The 20,238-nt window shown below is 35.6% G+C and overlaps 1 protein-coding gene across 18 annotated transcripts in view; it reads right to left on the reverse strand.

The window, feature by feature from the left end:
* Positions 1–20,238, reverse strand: part of ETV1 (ETS variant transcription factor 1) — a 100,197-nt gene that overhangs the window by 68,331 nt on the left and 11,628 nt on the right. For 12 of the 18 annotated variants that reach the window (NR_120445.1, XM_011515168.4, XM_047419985.1 and 9 more), the window contains one exon: positions 17,868–17,921. The exons of the other annotated variants lie outside the window; for them this stretch is intronic. Coding sequence is in view for 11 of the 12 variants with exons in the window: in XM_011515168.4 (XP_011513470.1) it covers positions 17,868–17,921 (54 nt within the window). In the remaining variant the exon portion in view is untranslated. The remainder of the gene's footprint in view (positions 1–17,867; positions 17,922–20,238) is intronic. 18 annotated transcript variants of the gene reach the window in all.

The following is a 20,238-nucleotide window of genomic DNA, read 5'->3' on the forward strand; positions in this document are numbered from 1 at the left end:
TGGAATGAGTCTCAAAATGATTGCTTAAAAATGGTTTGTTCTGGCCGGGCACAGTGGCTCACACCTGTAATCCCAGCACTTTGCAAGGCCGAGGCAGGTGGATCATTTGAGGTCAGGAGTTCGAGACCAGCCTGGCCTGCATCGTGAAACCCTGTCTCTACTAAAAATACAAAAAGTAGCCAGAGTGGTGGCACATGCCTCTAATCCCACCTACTCGGGAGGCTGAGGCAGGAGAATGGCTGGAACCTGGGAGGCAGAGGTTACAGTGAGCCAAGATAACACCACTGCCCTCCAGCCTGGGCAACAGAGTGAGATTCTGTCTCAAAAAAAAAAAAAAAAAAAAAAAAAAAGATCTATTCTCTGGAACCTTTTTTTTTTTAAATTGGGAGCCATACATAGATTATTTATCTTTCTTAAGTTAAATACTTGGAGTACTGTGCATAGACAACCTACCACATAAAATAAAGAGCAGGCTCTTTCACAGATCTGTAATGTATTTGCTGCTACATCTAAAGTATTTCTTCTTTTTGAGTTGCTAGTGGAGGACAATGGAAAGGAAGACGGTGTTCACCTCTTAGAGAACAATCTATAATGAATAATTACATCTGTCTAGGGAAGATATGCTACCAGTATGTGGCAGCAGTAATGACATCACAAACCAACTCTTTCATGGCTAAATTAATCAAATGCAATCATCTTAAATTCCTTTAATTATATTATCAACATTGCTATTCTGAATCTTCATTACTGTTACTATAGCTTATAAAGTCCTCTGCCCTAAAAACAGTACATAAATTAAGTAGATATTGATACTGCCTGACTTCTACAGAGCTACTGAGTTATTCAATACTCATCTATGTGCCAAATTCTTCAGACAAGATACCTCATTTAATCATTACATTCACCCATTTATTTTCCCCTTTTACTTACACAGCTTAAAGAAGTTAATTAGTTCAAAATCACAAAAATAGCAAATTATAAAACTTAGATTTAAACCCAGATTTAAACCTACTCCAATCTATAAATCTATAAAATTTATAAATTTATAAAATTTGTAAATCTATAAAACTTAGATTTAAACCTACTCCAAAGCTCACATGTTGCCATGTGAGCTTATAGCTACTTTAAGATTTTACCTCAGTGCCAAATTCTCTGATGCTAGTAATTCTTTTTGGAGAGAGAAAAACTAGAACCTATTTTTCTTATATTTAGCATGCAGAATCCAATTGATGAAACTCAAATTCTGATTTGTTTTGTTGTTGTTATTGATTTTCCTTGGGGGCTGAAAATATAAGAATCTGTTATCATATGCTGGGAGTGGTGGCTAATGCCTACAATGCCAACACTTTGTGAGGAAGGATCACTTGGGTCCACAAGTTCAAGACCGCTAGGTAACACAGCAATACCTCCTTTCTACAAATAATAATAACAATTTAAAAATAGCTGGGCATGGTAGCGCACACCGGAGTCCCAGCTACTCAAGAGGCTGAGTTGGGAGATCGCTTGAGCGCGGGTGGTTGAGGCTGCAGTGAGCCATGATTGCCCCACTGCACTCCAGCCTGGAAAACAGAGCAAGACCTCATCTCAAAAAAAAAAGAAAAAAAAGAAAAAGAAAAATCTGTTATTATATAAGAATGATTGCACTAATATTTGTGAAATACTTTGGGTCAAATACATCTGGTCCTGTAGAAGCCCAGCCATAGCCTAATAATTGATTGATTGGAAAAGTAGCTATTTTATAAGGTGATCTTTGGTCATTCACAATTTAAGCAGCCCATTAATTTTAAATGGGCTTCAAGAGGACCATTTTAAAGCTGAATACCACTTCATTGCAAATAGTGTTACAGCAAGGGTCCTGTGGATTCATTTTTATTATTTAAATAGCAATGATCATAAAATTAGCACCCTTCTAATGTAGTTCTCATCTTGATTATTGCTATTTAAGTAGTGAAATTTTTTCTTCAGGCTGAGCGAACACTATAATTATTATTGCTTTACATTGTAAAGGTTGCATCTTAATTGAAAAATCAACACTTTTTTTCCCTTTCAATGAATACATCAACTTTGAAATAAAAAAAAACATTGAGGATAGAAGCAATTTTGTTAGACCCACAAATTAGGGTGTCCTTGATTGGCCAGAATTCATAACCCATAATCTTACACATAAGATGCTAACTGATCCTATAGTAGGGTCTGTATTACAAGTATCAGAATGTTTCCAGTGCAACACTTTTTGTTTTTGAATTCCTATGGTCAAAGTAGATTTGAACAAACAACACTTCTTAGTTTCTTCTAACAGTATCATTACAGATATACACTGAACTACTTAGTGTGATCAACAGCAAAAGGTCAAGTTGTTACAACTATTTACAGTATGTGTAGATACAGTAGATAAAGCCCACATGTTGGTAGGTGTAGACATTATTTATGAGTATGAAGAAAAACACAAAAAGTTAAGTTGATCAGAAATGAATGCACGTGTGATATATTATGAATGTTATGTTTTGTGTATTTCATATATCTATATATTTTTGTATATACAGAATAAAAGCTTATATAGTATGTTCCATGTGCCAAATATATTACTTAGATATTTCACATAAACATATACAATGTTATGTACACACACACACACACACACACGTGTGTGTGTGTATATATATAAATACTCATTTAGTCACCCTAGGGGAGATAATATTTATCCCATTTTTATGCAAGAGGAAACTGAGGCACAATGATCTTAAATTGCTTGTACAAGGTCACACAGCTAGTAAATAGTAGAGACTTGAACTCAAGAGGCCTAGGTCCAATGTCCTACTCTTATACAGTACAATGTACTCAGTCCCATAGATAAATCTCATCACGTTTATATCATATGGCTTTAGTGTCTTCAACATCAACACTATCAGCAGCATGAAATAATATAAAAAAGTAGTATCAGACAAGACGCAAAATGTGATATTCAATTAATTTCAGCACATTAGCAAATGTTCCTGGCCTAATTATGTGTTGCCAAATAGAGTCCAAACCAATTTTAAAATTCTCTTTTGAGAGCATCATTATTTTGTTAAGCAAACATTCAGGATTCCTGAAGCTGAAGACCTATGTATACATAGAACTTAACCACATTTCTACAATCCAAAGCACAAGCATAAAGATTTTCATAGACAAACAGGGAACTTCAGGGATTGCCCACTCCACCCTTGCTTTCCATATACGTATTAGTTTGTGCATTATGTTATAAATTAGAATAATTCCATGAAGAATAAAAATCATTTTTGATAAATTTTCCATTTTTCTTTTATTGTATTACACAAGCATACGAATATATATATGTATACACGGATGTGGCAAAAACACTTATTTTACGTCTTTAATTCACTTGTATAGTCATGGCAAATCAATGAATAACAACTTTGTACATTTTACTGGAATGCATACAAGGGAAAATGTTACAAGGTGAGTTTTGGTTCTGCCATTCAACACCTATGAATGTAGTTCCTTATATAGGAACCACACTAAAACTGTATGAGCTTTGTCTACTCTGTCTATATCCCAAGGTAACTGTGAGAATCAAATGAGATACAGGATGTGAAAATGGCCTATGAAATCTAAAATGCTGAACAAATATAAATGATTAGTATTATTGCTAGTATTGTATTCATCTTTCAGTTCACAGCACCTAGCACAATGCCTGGCACTATGAATATTTGTGAACATAACTTATTTTTCGTTATGAAAAAAAGCCACGGTAAGAATTTAACCAACAGGACAAGCTGCATGTTACCAAAATAAAGATGCCAAACCTAAAGAGTCTAAAACTGCTATTCCCTTAACTATTATAAATAATATGAAAATAAGAGCATATTTTTCCAATTTTGTAATCACAAAATTCATGTGTGTTTTACTATATTCACAACCATTGAAATTTTGCATTAAGGTTTTTGAAAACATTTTAATACCAATCTTGGCAAAAAAAAAAAAACTTCATGCACACACACACCTATACGTATATATAGAGAGAGAAGTTTACTGATGACTTCTCATTTTCTTAGAATTTAACCAAAATTCTAAGAAAAGAATGTTATATTTTACATAAAATTCAGATGTTTGTATATATTAGCCTGCTTATATGTACATTACGTACACATAAATTCATATGTCCATCTCTACATAAGACCTATAAATAAGAGGATAGGTCTATATATTCCATAAGCACATTATCCGAACTTCAGAAATTGCTATGTAAAAGCCAAAAGCCCACATTTCCACTTTGATCAATGGGACAGCTTTATCACAAAATGGGATGACTGACGTTTATTGATTAGCTGATAACTTTCTAATGCAACAGCCTTTAATCTGCAATAAAACTATGAATGAAAATAGAGCTTTCACAAAGGAAAACAGGGATTGATTTTCCTGAAAGAATACAGGAACATGGAGATTTCAGATGGCAAAAACATCCAGAGAAACACAGCAATGACATCCAGCTATTTGGCTTTCCCTACAGACCCGTGAGTTGAGACAACTGCATCACCTGACATTCTGGCCCCAGTGCCAAGGACTAGGGAATCAAATCAAATCAACATAATAAGGCTGTTGTGTTCATGAGGATGGAGAAAAACAACCCCAAACAGCAGTAAAAGTTCACTTCACAGCAGGACCACCATTTCAGAGGAAAAGCTAACACTACTGAGAGGTTTGCTTCAATACTACCCATACATCTTTATAGGGATGAGCCATTTTTAACCATGTTCGGTGGCCTTGATAGTATTTGACAACAACTTTTGCTGGTAACTCTGCAGCTGGAAATAATTCTAAGAAAAACATCTTATGGTTTAGGACTAAATTCAGTGTTGAAAAGTTCTGGGGGATAAATGGAAAAAGGGGGGCACATATTTCTAATCAAAATTTATCCAGAACTTGGTATTGGTTTATAGATCACGATCATACTTAATGTGAAAAATCGACATAATACTAAGCTAAGAATTATGCATAGATACATTAACATTGATAAACGAGACAAAACCTGGCATAAAAATATTGAATTGAAGTCATTCCTTCATCCAACAAATATACATTTGTGCTAGTGATGTAGCAGAATTTAAAAATACCCTTCTGAATAACAAAATGGGTGAGAAAAGTATTTCTTATTCCAGTATCTGGAATAAGATACTGGAATAAGTATCTTATAGTGAATCTGATAAAGAAAAAAATCACTAATGAGTGAAAGCATCCAGGTTCATACTTTTTCTTATTTGCTATTTTCCCAACACACAGCTAAGGGTGTACAATCTTTCTTTTAAAATCATGAAGAGCCTGATAATCTTTTTGGGTTTCAGTTTTTCATCTTTAAATTAAAGGTGTTGATATCATTAATCTTTATCGTCTCAAGCTGCAGCTTTGAAATTTCTATGAATATTTACTACTATAATGGGAATTCCATGAACATTAGTAATACTCCTACTACTACTACTAATACCTCCGCCGCTGCTGCTACTACTACTACTGCCTCCATTCCCAAACGGCTGTTCTCCTCCAGTGAGAAAAATACACCATGTCTGAAACATTCTGGGGCCAAAACCTGTGCATAAACAACGCATAAATACACAGTGTTATCATAAACATCTCTTGAATTCTGGTAAATAAGAGAAAATATTTGAGGCAGAGAAGCGCACACACTGCAGCCTAGACAAGGACTGGAATAGTTCCCGAACACCATGTCCTCCCATCTATTTTTCTCACAGCTATTCGCTCAGATGAGTTCACAGAACATCTTTCTTGAGACAAACCTCTATTGGAAGGTGCTCTTGGTCTCTCTTCATCTATCATACCTTGATGAGAATAATTTTCAAAAACTATTAGTGAAACACATTCTTTGTTAGCCACGCAGATTTTTTTTTTTCAGAATAGAAACAGTTTTGAAGCTTGTACGTGTAGTCTGAGTATTGGCTATCAGGGAGGGAAGATCTGCATAGACTAAGCAACCATGAGATGGGATTCTCAGCTGTGTAATTTCAGTCATCACATGCCTTAGCTATTTGATTATTTTATGCCCTGGGTTTCTCTTCATGTAAAACAGGAATAATATCAAGTTATTTCAGAGTATTTGTCCTAATAGAGATTATTGAGAAATGTGTGGTGAGATAGGAGTATCTAATAATATTTATTAGAGTGCCCTAATCTGATAACTGAGATTTAGCTCTAATGTTACATAAATGCAAACAGCTTTCCATTAGCCCTCAAAGAAAAATAAAACAGAGGGAAATAAAAGCAGATATTGGCACTCGTTTTCAAACAATTCAAGCCACCTGTGCATGAATACGTTTTTTAAAAAATAAGATTCTAAATACCCAAGAAACTATTCATTCAATTCAGTATTCAATGAATACCTCAAACATGTGAATCATACACATAAACCGGGCATGAACCATCCTCTACAAGCCAATGAAAATAGGATTAAAATTAGGATCTATGTAAAGTATGTATTGGCACATAAAATTTGTTAATTCTGACTAAGATAATCAAGGGAAAAATAACATCTGATCTGAATCTTAAAGAACAAATATGATCTCAATGAATAGGACAATACTCTGTAAATAGTAATACTTAACAGTAGAGTACCTCATTTTTTAAAAGTCCAAAGATATTCTTGTCAGTCCCCTATAACATGAATTTTAGCATAGGTCAACAAGGTGTTAAGACAGACACTGATAGCCATCATCCACTAGGGAATCCAGTGGCCTTGCCTTTGGACAGAGTACATTTTGTTAAAATAAGTATAAAATTAAGTCCGGGTGTGGTGGCTCACACCTGTAATCCCAGCACAGTAGGGGGCCAAGGCGGGAGGATTGCTTGGTCTCAGGAGTTCAAGACCAGCATGGGCAACATGGCAAAACCCCATCTCTACAAAAAAATACAAAAATTAGCTGGGGATGGTGGTGCATGCCTATGGTCTCAGGCTGAGATGGGAGAGTCATCTGAGCCCAGGAGATTGAGGTCACTTGAGCCCAGGAGACTGAGGCTGCAGTGAGCTGAGATCATGCCACTGCACTCCAGACTGGGCGACAGAGTGAGACCCTGTCTCAAAAACAAAAACAAACAAACAAACAAAAAAACCTAAAATTACATGAAACCTAAGCACATTTTCTTCAATATGTAATAGATCAGAGTCTGAATACACAGTGATTATGCATAGATTTCACATCACTCATATAATTTCACATTACTCAATATGTGATAAATACAACTTCATTTATCAATTATATGCAGTAAGAACATAAGCTCCATGATAGCAGATATTTTTCTGACTTTTTTCACCACTGTATCTCCAGTGACTAGGACAAAGCCTGTCATATAATAGGGACTCAAAACACATTTGTTGAATGAATAAACATCTAGAGTCTTATAAACCTACGTAACACCTGTACAGACTACAACTGTGTAGCATATGTACCCAATAAATAAATTAATTAAACTAAACTCTCATAGGTAAAATAAGAACTGTTATACATTAAGATTTATTATTCATATTTAAAAATCATAAAAAATAACAGTAATGGATACGGATCTCATTTGCAAAATATAATCATTCCAATTTTGCAAACAGAAATGTGAATACAAGATTCTGCTACAATAAAAGATAATTAAAGGGTCCATCACAACTCAAGCCTCTTCAACAGGACCTAAAAACTAGTCAAAACAGGACTATATAGGCAATAACTAGGAGTAACTATGAAACAAATCTCTGAATAGTTTAATAATGTCATACCCACAGCAAAACAAACCAAAAAAACTTCTTTGCTAAACTCTAGATTTACAAAAGATTCAAAAGATTACATACAAAACCATTGCACAAAGGTACTTTTCTGATCTTAAAGCTTAATCAGACATTGTTTAAACAGTATTTTTAATCTAGCCATTCCTGATATATTGCCAATAATGGAGTTCTTGAGTTAACATTACCCTTAGCTACTGTCAAATGCAAATAGTGCTTTAGATTTAAAAAAACAATAGCATCTAACCAAAATTTTTACCTAGTAAGATACAGCACCAACTCTCATTAGGAAAAAATTCAGTAACAGACAGAAGCAAATATGCATTGTGCATCTTAAATACATGTTTATTATGATTTAAAAAAAGTGGAAAAATGATACCAATAAAAACCCATAACAAACACTAAGCATACAATTACGATGTGAAGGTCCACATGTACTAGTTTAGCTCAGGTTATTTCTTCTTTATATCTTATTTCATGAAACTTACATATTCTATGAGGTGGTAGCCCCCAAATATATTTATTTTCATGACTGCTTTATTTTAGTTTCAAATACTAATAATTGTTGTGTTTACTTTTTTACATATCAGAATATATAGATGTATGTGTATTTATTAAAAATATGGGGACAAAAAGTATAATATTTGGTTCTGCAAATATTTTCCACTGACATCCTTTACCTAGATTTTTCCAATAAATATTGTTTGGCTTATATTTCTATCAAGTCCATTCATTGTATAACAAAATAATTATTTAATATGAGGTCAAGTTCAACCAAAGAAGGTATAGATCACTTTCTTCAAAATAACTTGTGACTAATTATAGGGAGGGTAAGTAAAAAATATTTGCTGACATAACTTCCTTTGAGCACATTTCAAAAGTCAATTTCTACAATATATTGTTATATTAAGGACAAAATTAAAGAAGAAAAATAGGAAAGAAAAAGCTAAAGACTTGGGTTAATATATATATTTTTAGCTTTCATCTTTGGAAGAGCAAGCACCAGTTTTGTAGAGTTTTGAATTTTAGTTTTTGGTTTTCATCTGGGCGGTAAGCCTGCCCTATGTACCTTAACAAGAATAAACTGGTAAAACCAAAAATAGTGAAAAGTATCTACTAGAGCATACTTTACTAAAATCAAGACTAATGTAATTTTCTCACTGTAAGTATACAGAATATAAGTATTGGCTGCACCTGTCCAATACTTATATTCCGTATACTTACAGTGAGAAAATTATAAGTATACCAATAAAAGAAAGTACACCTACTTCCTATAAGGGAAAGTGTCCTTCATAGCAAATTCTACTTACATTATTCCCCCATGAATTACGTTTTTTTCTAAAACCCACTTTTCAAGTCAAGCATGCATTCACCAGATTTAGCTAGTATCCTTTCTCTTTTCCTTCTGGCACAAAATCATAATGTGGCTCTGGGCCTAAAAGATTTGTTTCCCTGTCAACTTACAGATAAGTAAGTAAAGGTTAAGAGACATACCCAAGGTCTATGATTTAGATTTTATTTCTTTTACTGGACTTGATGGATTCCTGGGAGGGTATCTAAAATAAAAATTCTTGCAAGAGAGCCTACTTGCAAGATGGAGAGTACTTTTCATTGGATTTTCATTTTGATTTAAAAAATGTATTCCTTGTAAAACAATCAAGTACCAAACTAAAATTTTCGCTTTACTGGAAAGGGGGCTGCTGGGCTTTGTGACAGACATGGAACACATCTGCACCAGTGGAACAGTAGAACATCTAATGACAAGAATTCCTACTAGACACACCTAGAACAGGGTGGGTCATCAATGCCTTGGCTCTCTCTAATCAGCATTGGGAAGTTCCTTCTAAACTAGAATTGGTTCCAGTATAAAAGAAATCTACAATCAGCAATGACTTTCTCACAGCTAAAATAGAGAATAATCTTTGGAAGAGGAAAATATATATAATTCTAGCAAAGATGATAAAATAAGAATATATTTAAAATATCATTTTTATATAGCCTTCGCTTTTTGATTCCCTAGTATATTTTAAAAATAAGATGACAATATATTACTTAAATAATATTTTCCAGAAACTGATTGCCTCTATCACATAACAAATTTTATATGGGTATGAATGGCAAGGTTCATCTTACAACTTAATTGCAAAAGACTGATACTGCTGTCTTTATTTTACAATTAAGTATATGAGAAAATATCTAACCTTGCACTCCACGAAAGGCCTGCATCAGAATCACCTAACAGTTCCTTAGAGATACAGAAGCCTAGTTCTAGGCCTGTAATGTCAAGCTCTCACAGGATAGGAAACAGGAAGCTGCATTTGCACAAGCTTCCCAAATGATTTTTATTCATGCCCAGGTCTGAATACGGACTGAAGTAGAATCAGACAGCTGATTACCGGCATTAAAGTAATTAAAACCTATCCAAAATGTTTTTCTATCTTCATAGGACAACAGGTAAAATCTAAAACTAATAAAACAAGAAGTTGCAGTACAAGCATATTATTTAGTATGTAGGACAACTAAAAGGCAGTTGCTTCTAGAGAGGACTGTGAGTTGTGGGTTGCAGGAACGGGGAATAATTTTATTTGCACTTTTTCCTACTCTGTACATAAACTGCTTTGACAAAATATTTAAACTGGGCCAGGCGCAGTGGCTCACGCCTGTAATCCCAGCACTTTGGGAGGCCGAGGCAGGAGAATCACGAGGACAGGAGATGGAGACCATACTGGCTAACACAGTGAAACCCCGTCTCTACTAAAAATACAAAAAAAAAAATTAGCCTGGCGTGGTGGCGGGCGCCTGTGGTCCCAGCTAGCCGGGAGGCCGAGGCAGGAGAATGGCGTGAACCCGGGAGGCGGAGCTTGCAGTGAGCTGAGGTCACGCCACTGCACTCCAGCCTGGGCGACAGAGCGAGACCCCATCTCAAAACACACACACACACACACACACACACACACACACACACACACACACACACACACACACACACAAAGCAGCAACTACAAAAAGCATACCCAAAAGAAACTCAGAACCATCAAGAGGTAGCTATCGTATAACTCTCAGGAATACTAACTTGGGCGAGAAGGTATGCAACTAGTCATGCTTGAAATGGATAGTTTGAGTCTATTTGGTAACATGTTTAAATATGCCTCAAAAAAAGTTTTAAATCTTTTTGAAATTGAAAACAAACCAAAAAACTCATGTTCTTAAATCCAAAAAAATGCCATTTCTCTTTCAGTGTGTGCTCTCATTTTGGTAAAAGCAGTCAGAAAAACGAAAGAAGATGAAGTTTTCCTGACCAATCATATCAAAAAAACTTAATCGGGCAAGAAAGTTTTCAAAATTAGTAATAAAAAATCAACTTTATAAAGTACTCACTGTATGTGTTGAAAGAAACAAGATGTAGGAAGGTAACTTAGTAAAAAGGCAGGAAATTATGAAAACAAACCACAAATGGAATTTTTCTGATCCTGGACAGGTACGTGTTAACACAAATTATTCAGTCAGGGTCTACACAGACCTGACTGACTTCAGTTTTTTTAGAAGCAGATTTGTAACAGTAATCTAAGTATTTCTTTTTTCCACTTCATTGAAAAAAAAAAGTCAAATGCTATTCTTTCTTTTATTTATTTTATTTTATTTATTTATTTTTTGAGACAGAATCTTACTCTGTCACCCAGGCTGGAGTGCGATGGCACGATCTTGGCTCACGGCAACCTCTACCTCCCAGGTTCAAGCAATTCTCCTGCCTCAGCCTCCTGAGTAGCTGGGATTACAGGCATGCGACACCACACCCAGATAATTTTGTAGTTTTAGTAGAGACGGGGTTTCGCCATGTTAGCCAGGCTAGTCTCGAACTCCTGACCTTAGGTGATCCGCCTGCCTCGGCCTCCCAAAGTGCTGGGACTACAGGCGTGAGCCAATGTGCCCGACCCAAATGCTATTCTTAAAACCAGAAATTCTTAAAGAAACAAAGTGTAGTTATGATTTTCATTTACTTAAAGTGCCATCCATGTAATAATATTAGTGGTTTTAAACAGTTGAGTCCCCACACAAGGGTCTGTCTGGATGATTTTTGTATGGTCCTCTAGTATTGTATTACAGATATCTGATAAAGTACAGAAGTTTGCAAAAGATTTACTTTTGTAAATAGTGAAGAGTCAGGGTTATTGTTATTTCTTTAATAACATTTTTTCCAATGGACTTGCATTCCAGTGTGTTTTACTGAGTGTAAGACAAAGCAGTAGAGTTACAAGGATCTATTCTGTTGGGAATTTTGCATAACCCTGGGACTTATGCACACTCCTGGAAATGCTCTGGAAGAAGATAAAATGTAAATGTGAAAGTCACTATCATGTGAATCACTACAGAGAAAAGACTGAAATGAACTAATGTAACCAAATGGAAACAAACTAGTTCTAAAAATAACACATAACTTTGTTACGAAGAACAAAATGAAAGGTGGTAGATTTTCAAAGATGAATGATATAACGGCCAGGCACAGTGGCTCACACCTGTAATCCCAGCACTTTGGGAAGCTAAGGCGGGCGGATCACTTGAAGTCAGGAGTTTGAGACTAGCCTGGACAACAATAGTGAAACTCCGTCTCCACTAAAAATACAAAAATTATCCAGGCATGGTAGCGCATGCCTGTAATCCCAGCTACCTAGGAGGCTGAGGCAAGAGACACTTGAATCCGGGAGGCAGGAGTTGCAGTGAGCCGAGATCGTGCCACTGCACTCCAGCCTGGATGATACAGCGAGACTCTGTCTCAAAAAGAAAAAAAAAATGATATAACTAAATTTAAAATATATGATTTAAGGCTGGGTATGATGGCTCATGCCTGCAATCCTAGCACTTCAGGAGGCCGACTTGAGCAGATCACTTAAGCCCAGGAGTTCAAGACCAGCCTGGGCAAAACCCCATCTCTCTATAAAATACAAAAATTGGCCGGGCATGGTGGTGCGTGCCTGTAGTCCCAGCTACTTGGGAGGCTGAAGTAGGGTAGACTGCTGAACTAAGGAGGCAGAGTTTGCAGTGAGCCAAAATCATGCCACTGCACTCTAGCCAGGGCAACCAAGTGAGACCCTGTCTCAGAATAAAATAAGATTGAAAATATAACATTATTGATGTAATTAAACTTAAAGTAAACAATTTAGGAAAATTCTGTTTAAATACAAATGTATATCCACTTCAGAAACATAAGGTTCACCTCTGTTTGAAATACTCCTTAATTTGTCCTTTTTGAGAAGATACACTTCTATTTCTTCTGGATTAAGCACATCCTAACGTAATTCTATTTTTTCCAACAGAGTGTCTGAGATATGAAAAGATTTATTGCTAAGGAATAAACAATTTGTTAAAAGCATGTTATTGTTTCTCTTAGCCTTCATCGATTTCCTGGCATGCACTTGTAGGAACTTGTTTTCACTTGGTTTTTATTTTTATTTTCTGATAGATACAGGGTCTCATTATGTTGCCCAGGCTGGTCTCCAACTCCCGAGCTCAAGCAATTCTCCACTTCAGCCTTCCAAAGTGCCAGGATTATAGGCATGAGCCACCATGCCCAGGCTCTGTTTTCACTTATTTTTAATGCCTATACTTGCTTCAAAGTTAGCATCCTTCAAAGGTTAGCAATCTATAATATACCATCACTGGATTCCACATTTCCAATTAAAATATTTTGTAAACAGCAACAAACAATGCTCAGGGAAATTTTTAGAAAGTTCTCAAGTGTTGTGATTTAATCTCATTTTCACAATTTTTGGATGCTCTGATCTCTATTATTCTACATGCATTTAAACATGTTACAGTCAAATGCATGTTCTATAATCCAGTATTGAGCAAAATTTTGCTCTTCACTCTCTTAACCTTCATTTACCAAAGGACTAAAGCAGTAAAAGCTAAGGCAGAAGCATCTGATTTCATTGAGGTATGCAAGGAAACCTGATTACTCACATTTTTAAAAATATCCCCATAGAATTTACAGACAGGCCACACAGAGGGGATGCAGTTTCTTTCTCTTTCTAGAGATAGATCCCTCTGCCCCCACTAAGCATACCCAGACGCACGAGAATCAAACATCTGCTTAAAGGCATTTTGGAGACCATCTAACCTCTCAATTCCAATATTTGATAAACTTCTGCATCCAGAAATCCTCTTTAGTATCTAATACAAATGCCCTATTCTTCTTTTTAAATCATTTCCCTCTTGTCCTTTCTTCGGTGAAGAATAAAATTAGCTGGTTATTATGATCTAAACAATAGTCCTTCATGTCTGTGAAAACCTGAAATAACATATCCTTCCACTTTTTTTTTTAAATTAGGCGATTTCAGACTTATTTTTGCCTCTGTTTATGGGTTTTTTAAAATTATTGTGTGTCTTATTTACATGTCCCAAAGCCATATTTGTTAAACTGTAAATATTCTCTAATTAAAGTAAAATAAACCTTCACAATTCTGAAAATATTTGGTTAAACTTTCATAGTTTCGGCAAGTTTTCCCAGAATGAGACTATACGTGCAGTTTTAAGGCATATCATGTTTCTACCTTAAGAAACGAATTAAGACTCTGAAGATGCTTAGGAGGAAATAAGCACTAAGAAGGTGATCATGAATGCAATGATAATTTTACTTATTGTTCTCCTATAACATGTAAGCCATGCTGAATGTGACGTGTTTCTTGTACCCTCAAGAAGTTCACAATCTTGTCAAAGACACAAATGTATCTAAAATACTATAATACAATAAATATAATATACAAGATGCTGTGGAGTCCAGCTAACTCTGTGGGGTCAGGGTGGCAAGAAAAGGCTGAGAAAGACTTCAGTGAGGTGAAATCTAAGCTGAGTCTGAAATAGGAGGTTCACCAGATTGCAAAACAAAAATGAAAAGTTTTAAAGCAAAATGAACACATGCAAGGGCAAAGAGATTTAAAACAGCTCAATCTGCCCAGATAACTGAAAAATTAGAAGGGCTAAAGTACAGAGGAAAGGAAAAGTCAGGGCACTGGAGTAGCAAGAGTTTAAACCGAAAGGACAGTCAAGGCTTCGGTTGTAGAAGAATTTTCCGTACAGCTAAAGAAATAGGACTCTGTCCTGCAGACAGTTTAAGAAGAAAAGTAACAAGGCCAAATAGCTGTGTGTTAATGCTATTGCACAGGGTGGCTTGCAAAGAGGGAAAATCAAAAGACAAGAAAACCAACCAAAAGGCTGACTCAGAAGTTCAGTCAAGGCAGAATGTAGGTGTGTGAACTAAAACAATGAAATAGGGATGAAGGAGAGGCCATGAAATTAAGATATTTTTGAAAGCTAGGATCAACAACTTGGTTAGCAATTTGAGGTTTATTGTAAAGAACCGAGGTCTCTAAGGATAAATATCAGGATTTCAGTTTGGATGGTGATGCCAGTAACTTAGAAAGGCAACAGAAGTAAAAGAGCAACGTTGGTCAGGAAAAATCATGATTTCACTGTTGGACTTGCTGAGTGTAAATTGTCTGTGGAGTGTTGCGTTAAAGATTGGAGTTGGCGTGTAGATGGTGTTTTGTGCAATGCACAGCCAAGGGCTAAGGGAGCAAGTCCAGAGGTGTTGCCTTTTTCTAATCTGCACAGGGACACTAGCAGGGATCAGGTGAGGATGTCCAATGGACAGCTTCGGAGGGAAGAACCAGGCTGGAGACAACAATGTGGAAGACATCGCTGTTCAAAGCTGTGCTGACCAATACAGTAGCCAGTAGCCAGTATCCAGACATGTCTAAATTTAAAATAATCAAAATTAAATAAAGTTAAAAATTCATTTCCTCAGTCCCACTAACCACATTTCGTGTGCTCAATGGCCAATGTGGTTAGTGGACACTGTATCAGGTGGCACAGGTGTAGTCATTTCCATCACAGAAAGTTCTATGGGACAGTGCTGGCATGGTGCATGTAAAATAAGAGGAAAGGGGCTCACACCTGTGATCCCAGCACTTTGGGAGGCCAAGGCGGGCGGATCACGAGGTCAGGAGATCGAGACCATCCTGGCCAACACAGTGAAACCCCAACTCTACTAAAAAGACAAAAAATTAGCTGGGAGTGATGGCGGATGCCTGTAGTCCCAGCTACTCGGGAGGCTGAGGCAGGAGAATGGCTGAGGCAGGAGAATGGTGTGAACCCGGGAGGTGGAGCTTGCAGTGAGCCAAGATTGCACCACTGCACTAGAGCCTGGGCAACAGGGTGAGACTCTGTCTCAAAAAAAAAAAAAAAAAGAAAAGAAAAGAAAAAAAAAAAGGAAAGGTTTCGGGACAGAACCCTAGGGAAAGAAGAGGTCCACAAAGAGGAGGGAAGGAAGATGAGTTGAGTAAGAAGGAGTGGTCAAGGGTGTAAAAAACAAAAAAAAATAAAGGAAGAAAATCACGCCAGTGTGACCTTCAGAAAAGAGTTCAAAGAGACTAAATATTCAATAAGAAAAGCTGAAAAGAGGTCAAATAAGAAAAGGAGTAAAAAATTACCTATAGGTGGTTCATTTTACCCTGACAATTGGTATAGTATTGGAATTGTTACCAATTACTTTGGATGTAAAATATCAACGAGATTAATTCTTTTACTCAGACGACGTGTTTAGCTTTTAGAAAGAAGAATTCAATTGCCCATAGGAAGGGAAATGTTGGCAATATGACATTCTCTTCCCATACTTTAATCAAGAAGGGGAGGACTTGTATTAGCCATCATCCTTCTGGGAGTGTTTCTAAGGGTGTCTAATTAAGGTCTATATAGTTGCTGAGTAAGTTTCTTGAAAGCCTATGTCAATTACCTGTATTTAGACATCAAACAGCATTATACAGTTTTCTTCTCGGATCAAAAATAAAGCTAATACAACAGTGGTTACCAGGGACTGAGGGCAGAGAAATGGGAGTTATTGTTTTACAGGTACAGAACTTCAGCTTGGGATACAAAAAAGTTCTGAAGTTGAATAGTGGTGAAGGTTGTACAACAATGTGAATGTACTTAGTGCCATTGAACTACAAACTTAAAAATAGTTGAAATGGTAAATTTTGTGGTATGTATATTTTACCACAGTAATTTCTTTATAACCAAGCTGAGTTGAAACATGTAACATGTTAGAGAATCTGGACAAAACCTTGCACAACCCTCTACGCCTGAGAAATTTAACATATCAAACATAAATGCTGAAAACACTGCCCACAACATCTGTTACTTGAAGTAATGCAGGTATCTGTATTAGAAAAAATAAAACAAATTTAGATGTCACCAACAGAACAAAAATGCATTAGGCCAGTTTCATAATTAAGATGGCATTTATACCCTTTTCCTTAGTATTTGCTCCTTTGGTCAGTAGCAGCAGTTAGCTGGTAGAATGGCAGATTATAAATATCAGCAGTAAACCCCAAGGCAACCACGTTTGTACAGGCAAAACGCTCACTCTGCAATTAAGGGACAGTGAGTACTCCATGCATCACTCCTTGCGCATTCTCTGACAGACCCAGGAGCAAGGCTTAGGGAAAGGAACGCAGAAGGAAGAACCCTGAGAGAAGCCAATGGCTGCTTCCATTTGTGCTACTGCAACCAGGAAGCAGAAAATTTCAGGCTAAAAATTAAATAAAAGCAGGTGACAATTCATGAATGTACAATACTACAATAAGCCAATGAATGTTTGGTCCAGAATCTTTTATAAATTATACAATAACTAATCTCAAGTAGTTTTTAACTCTACCTCCCATCAGCATCCAGGCATTTCTCTGTAAGCATATTGGCAAACTGGAAGTAAACATGTGCATGTTCATGGATCACATGCTATTTCCTCCCAAAGATATTTACCAATATGAAGAACAAGACCATCTTTCAATCAACTCAGTCTTCCTTGCCTACTATTTGGAGTTCTCTTCCGATATACAGAATTCAAGCATTCTGCTCAAAACAGAGTTTCTGCTGATGTCACAACCTAACAAATCAAATCATCTTATGGCTGTAAGTTAAAAAGGTGCTGGTACAATGTAAGACAAGACACTGGACGTGAAAACCAACCAAAGAGAAAGAAGAAAGAAGGAAACCAGAAAGACAGAAAAATACAAGAGATGAGTCATACTATACTTACAACTTTCAGCCTGATAGTCTGGTACAAACTGCTCATCATTGTCAGGTACCTGAGCTGAAGAAGAAAAAGAAAATTAAAAAAAATTAAGAGAGAAACTGCCAAAAGCATAAGGAATGTCAAGTAAAATCTGTCAAGTAAGATCTTCTTGGGCTGAGATCAAACCTATGATTATTTGCCAATGAGCTCCTATTTAAAATGGTATTGACAACACTACTTAGGAGGAGAAATGGAAGGGGATCATTGATGTCACCTAGGAACCATATATATGTCAGAAATAGGATGATGGCAGGTGTATTCCCTCCGAATTTCACCTGCCAGATGGAAATAAAAGAGATGCAAAATAAAGAAAGCTATAGAATTTCCATTTCCTGCAGTTTTTTTTCAAGAATAGAGCAAAAGCTATTTCAATTCACCCACTGCCAGTGTGTAAGCAGCCCACTTAAATTAACCACACAATTATTTTAAGTGATGTGCAGTTATCACACACGTCTCTCTGCTTTTTTAGAAACGTCTGCTGGTATGTTCTCTGTCCTGCAAAATACACCATATTTTAAGATGCTTGCACTGAATTTTGCCAAAGTATGCTACAAAGGTTTTTAAATGGAAGAATGGTCCTTGATTTGGCTCATATATAATAAAGTATTATATTTCAAAGATTATATTCACATTAACAAAATAACAAACAATAACACAAATGTCATCTTTTCATTCAAAATATTTTCCTGGCAACTACTAGGCATTAACAAAAAGAATATCACTAGTTCGTCAGTCCTCATGTCAAAAGACGTTCCTATTTTTAGTCAAGGAAAAATACTGAATAGCAAGGACTTAATGCATTTGGCAGCAATCAAAACACAAGTGCATTTTTCACTTCTAAAATGTTTTCATCACAGTTGATTTAGACATCGAAGTAACCTATTCCAAACTGAATATTAGTAATAAGCTTTCACAAACACACATAAATACATGCAAACACACACACACACACACACGCCCAAAAAATAGAAGTTAGGTTACTTTTAATTTGATAAAAATATAATGAATTATCATCCTAATTAACTTTAGCTGTCATTTGACTAGGTAGTATTACTTCATTAGTGTTACGTAATACTGAAACTTTTTTATCCAGCCAAGTCATATTTAAATAGACGTTAATTAACTTTCTTAAATGAGCCTATTCTGCATGAGGAATGCTTATTAAAATAAACAGTCTCTTTTGAAAATGCTTCAGGTTGGTAACTGAATGGCTTAAGAAAAAAATCTACATAAAAAGGAATTCTACATTTTAAAAAAATTTTATATAAAAAAGAATACAATATACAGAATTAAAGTTTCTTTTTATTAGTTTAATATTATTCTTTAAAAACAGACATTTGGCTGAATAAAATTTACGTTATATTATGAAGAGCATAAGAATCTGATAATTGTGCCTGTTATAAAAACGTATGCAGTTTGACATTCAACTGTTTTCTAACAACTCTCTTCTGTACACCAATAATTAACCTTATTACCAATGCACTCTACCCCCGCTACCAAACAAAATCAAACAAATTAATAATTTTTTCAAGTTTTAACTGATACCTATTTGATCAGCCTATATTGCAAGGAGAATTTTTTTCTCTTCATATTGCTCCAATATCTGATACTGTGGGTAACAACTTCAAAGTTAGCAAACTGCAAATCTTAATTCTGTGACATGCTAGTTGTGCAACTTTGGTTAAGTTTCTGAACCTCTTAGAACTGAATTTTACTTATCAGTTTACTAGTGAAAATACAGTTTTTTGGTGAGGATTAAATGAAACAGTCTAAACGCAATGCCAGCTACTCAAGAAATGTTCCTTATTTTCTTCTTTCCAGTCCTCTACCCACCAACCCTTGTCTTTCAAGTCATCCACAAAAAAGTACATGTCATTACAACGCTCAGTTTAATATCTTTACTTCTAATGAAGTCTACTAGAGAGGCAACGAAACAGCTAAAATCTGTACATTAGCATTCTCTCAGCTATTAACACAACATATTTTTTTGACACTGCAGAAAAAAATGTTCTAAAAGATTCATAAATTACAAGGCGAAGGGTGTGCTTTCAAGTAAGTCTTCATATCAAAAAAATTACAAGTGTTTTAAATATATATTTAATAAATAACAGCAAGTACACAGATTCAAATCCTGCACATTTTTCCCATTATATCATTGTTTTGGTTTTCCCTCAGAATTAACAGCTAAACAGATATAACTATTGAGATGCAAATATATCAACCACAACAATTACTGGGCTTTTAAAAAGCCAACATTTATAAGAATCTAATAAAAATATAATATCCCTTTACAGGAAAAGTTAAAAATAGCTGGTGAGTAACAAAAGTATACTTG

Source organism: Homo sapiens, chromosome 7 (genome assembly GCF_000001405.40).
Source record: "Homo sapiens chromosome 7, GRCh38.p14 Primary Assembly".
NCBI classification, from domain to species: Eukaryota; Metazoa; Chordata; class Mammalia; order Primates; family Hominidae; genus Homo; species Homo sapiens.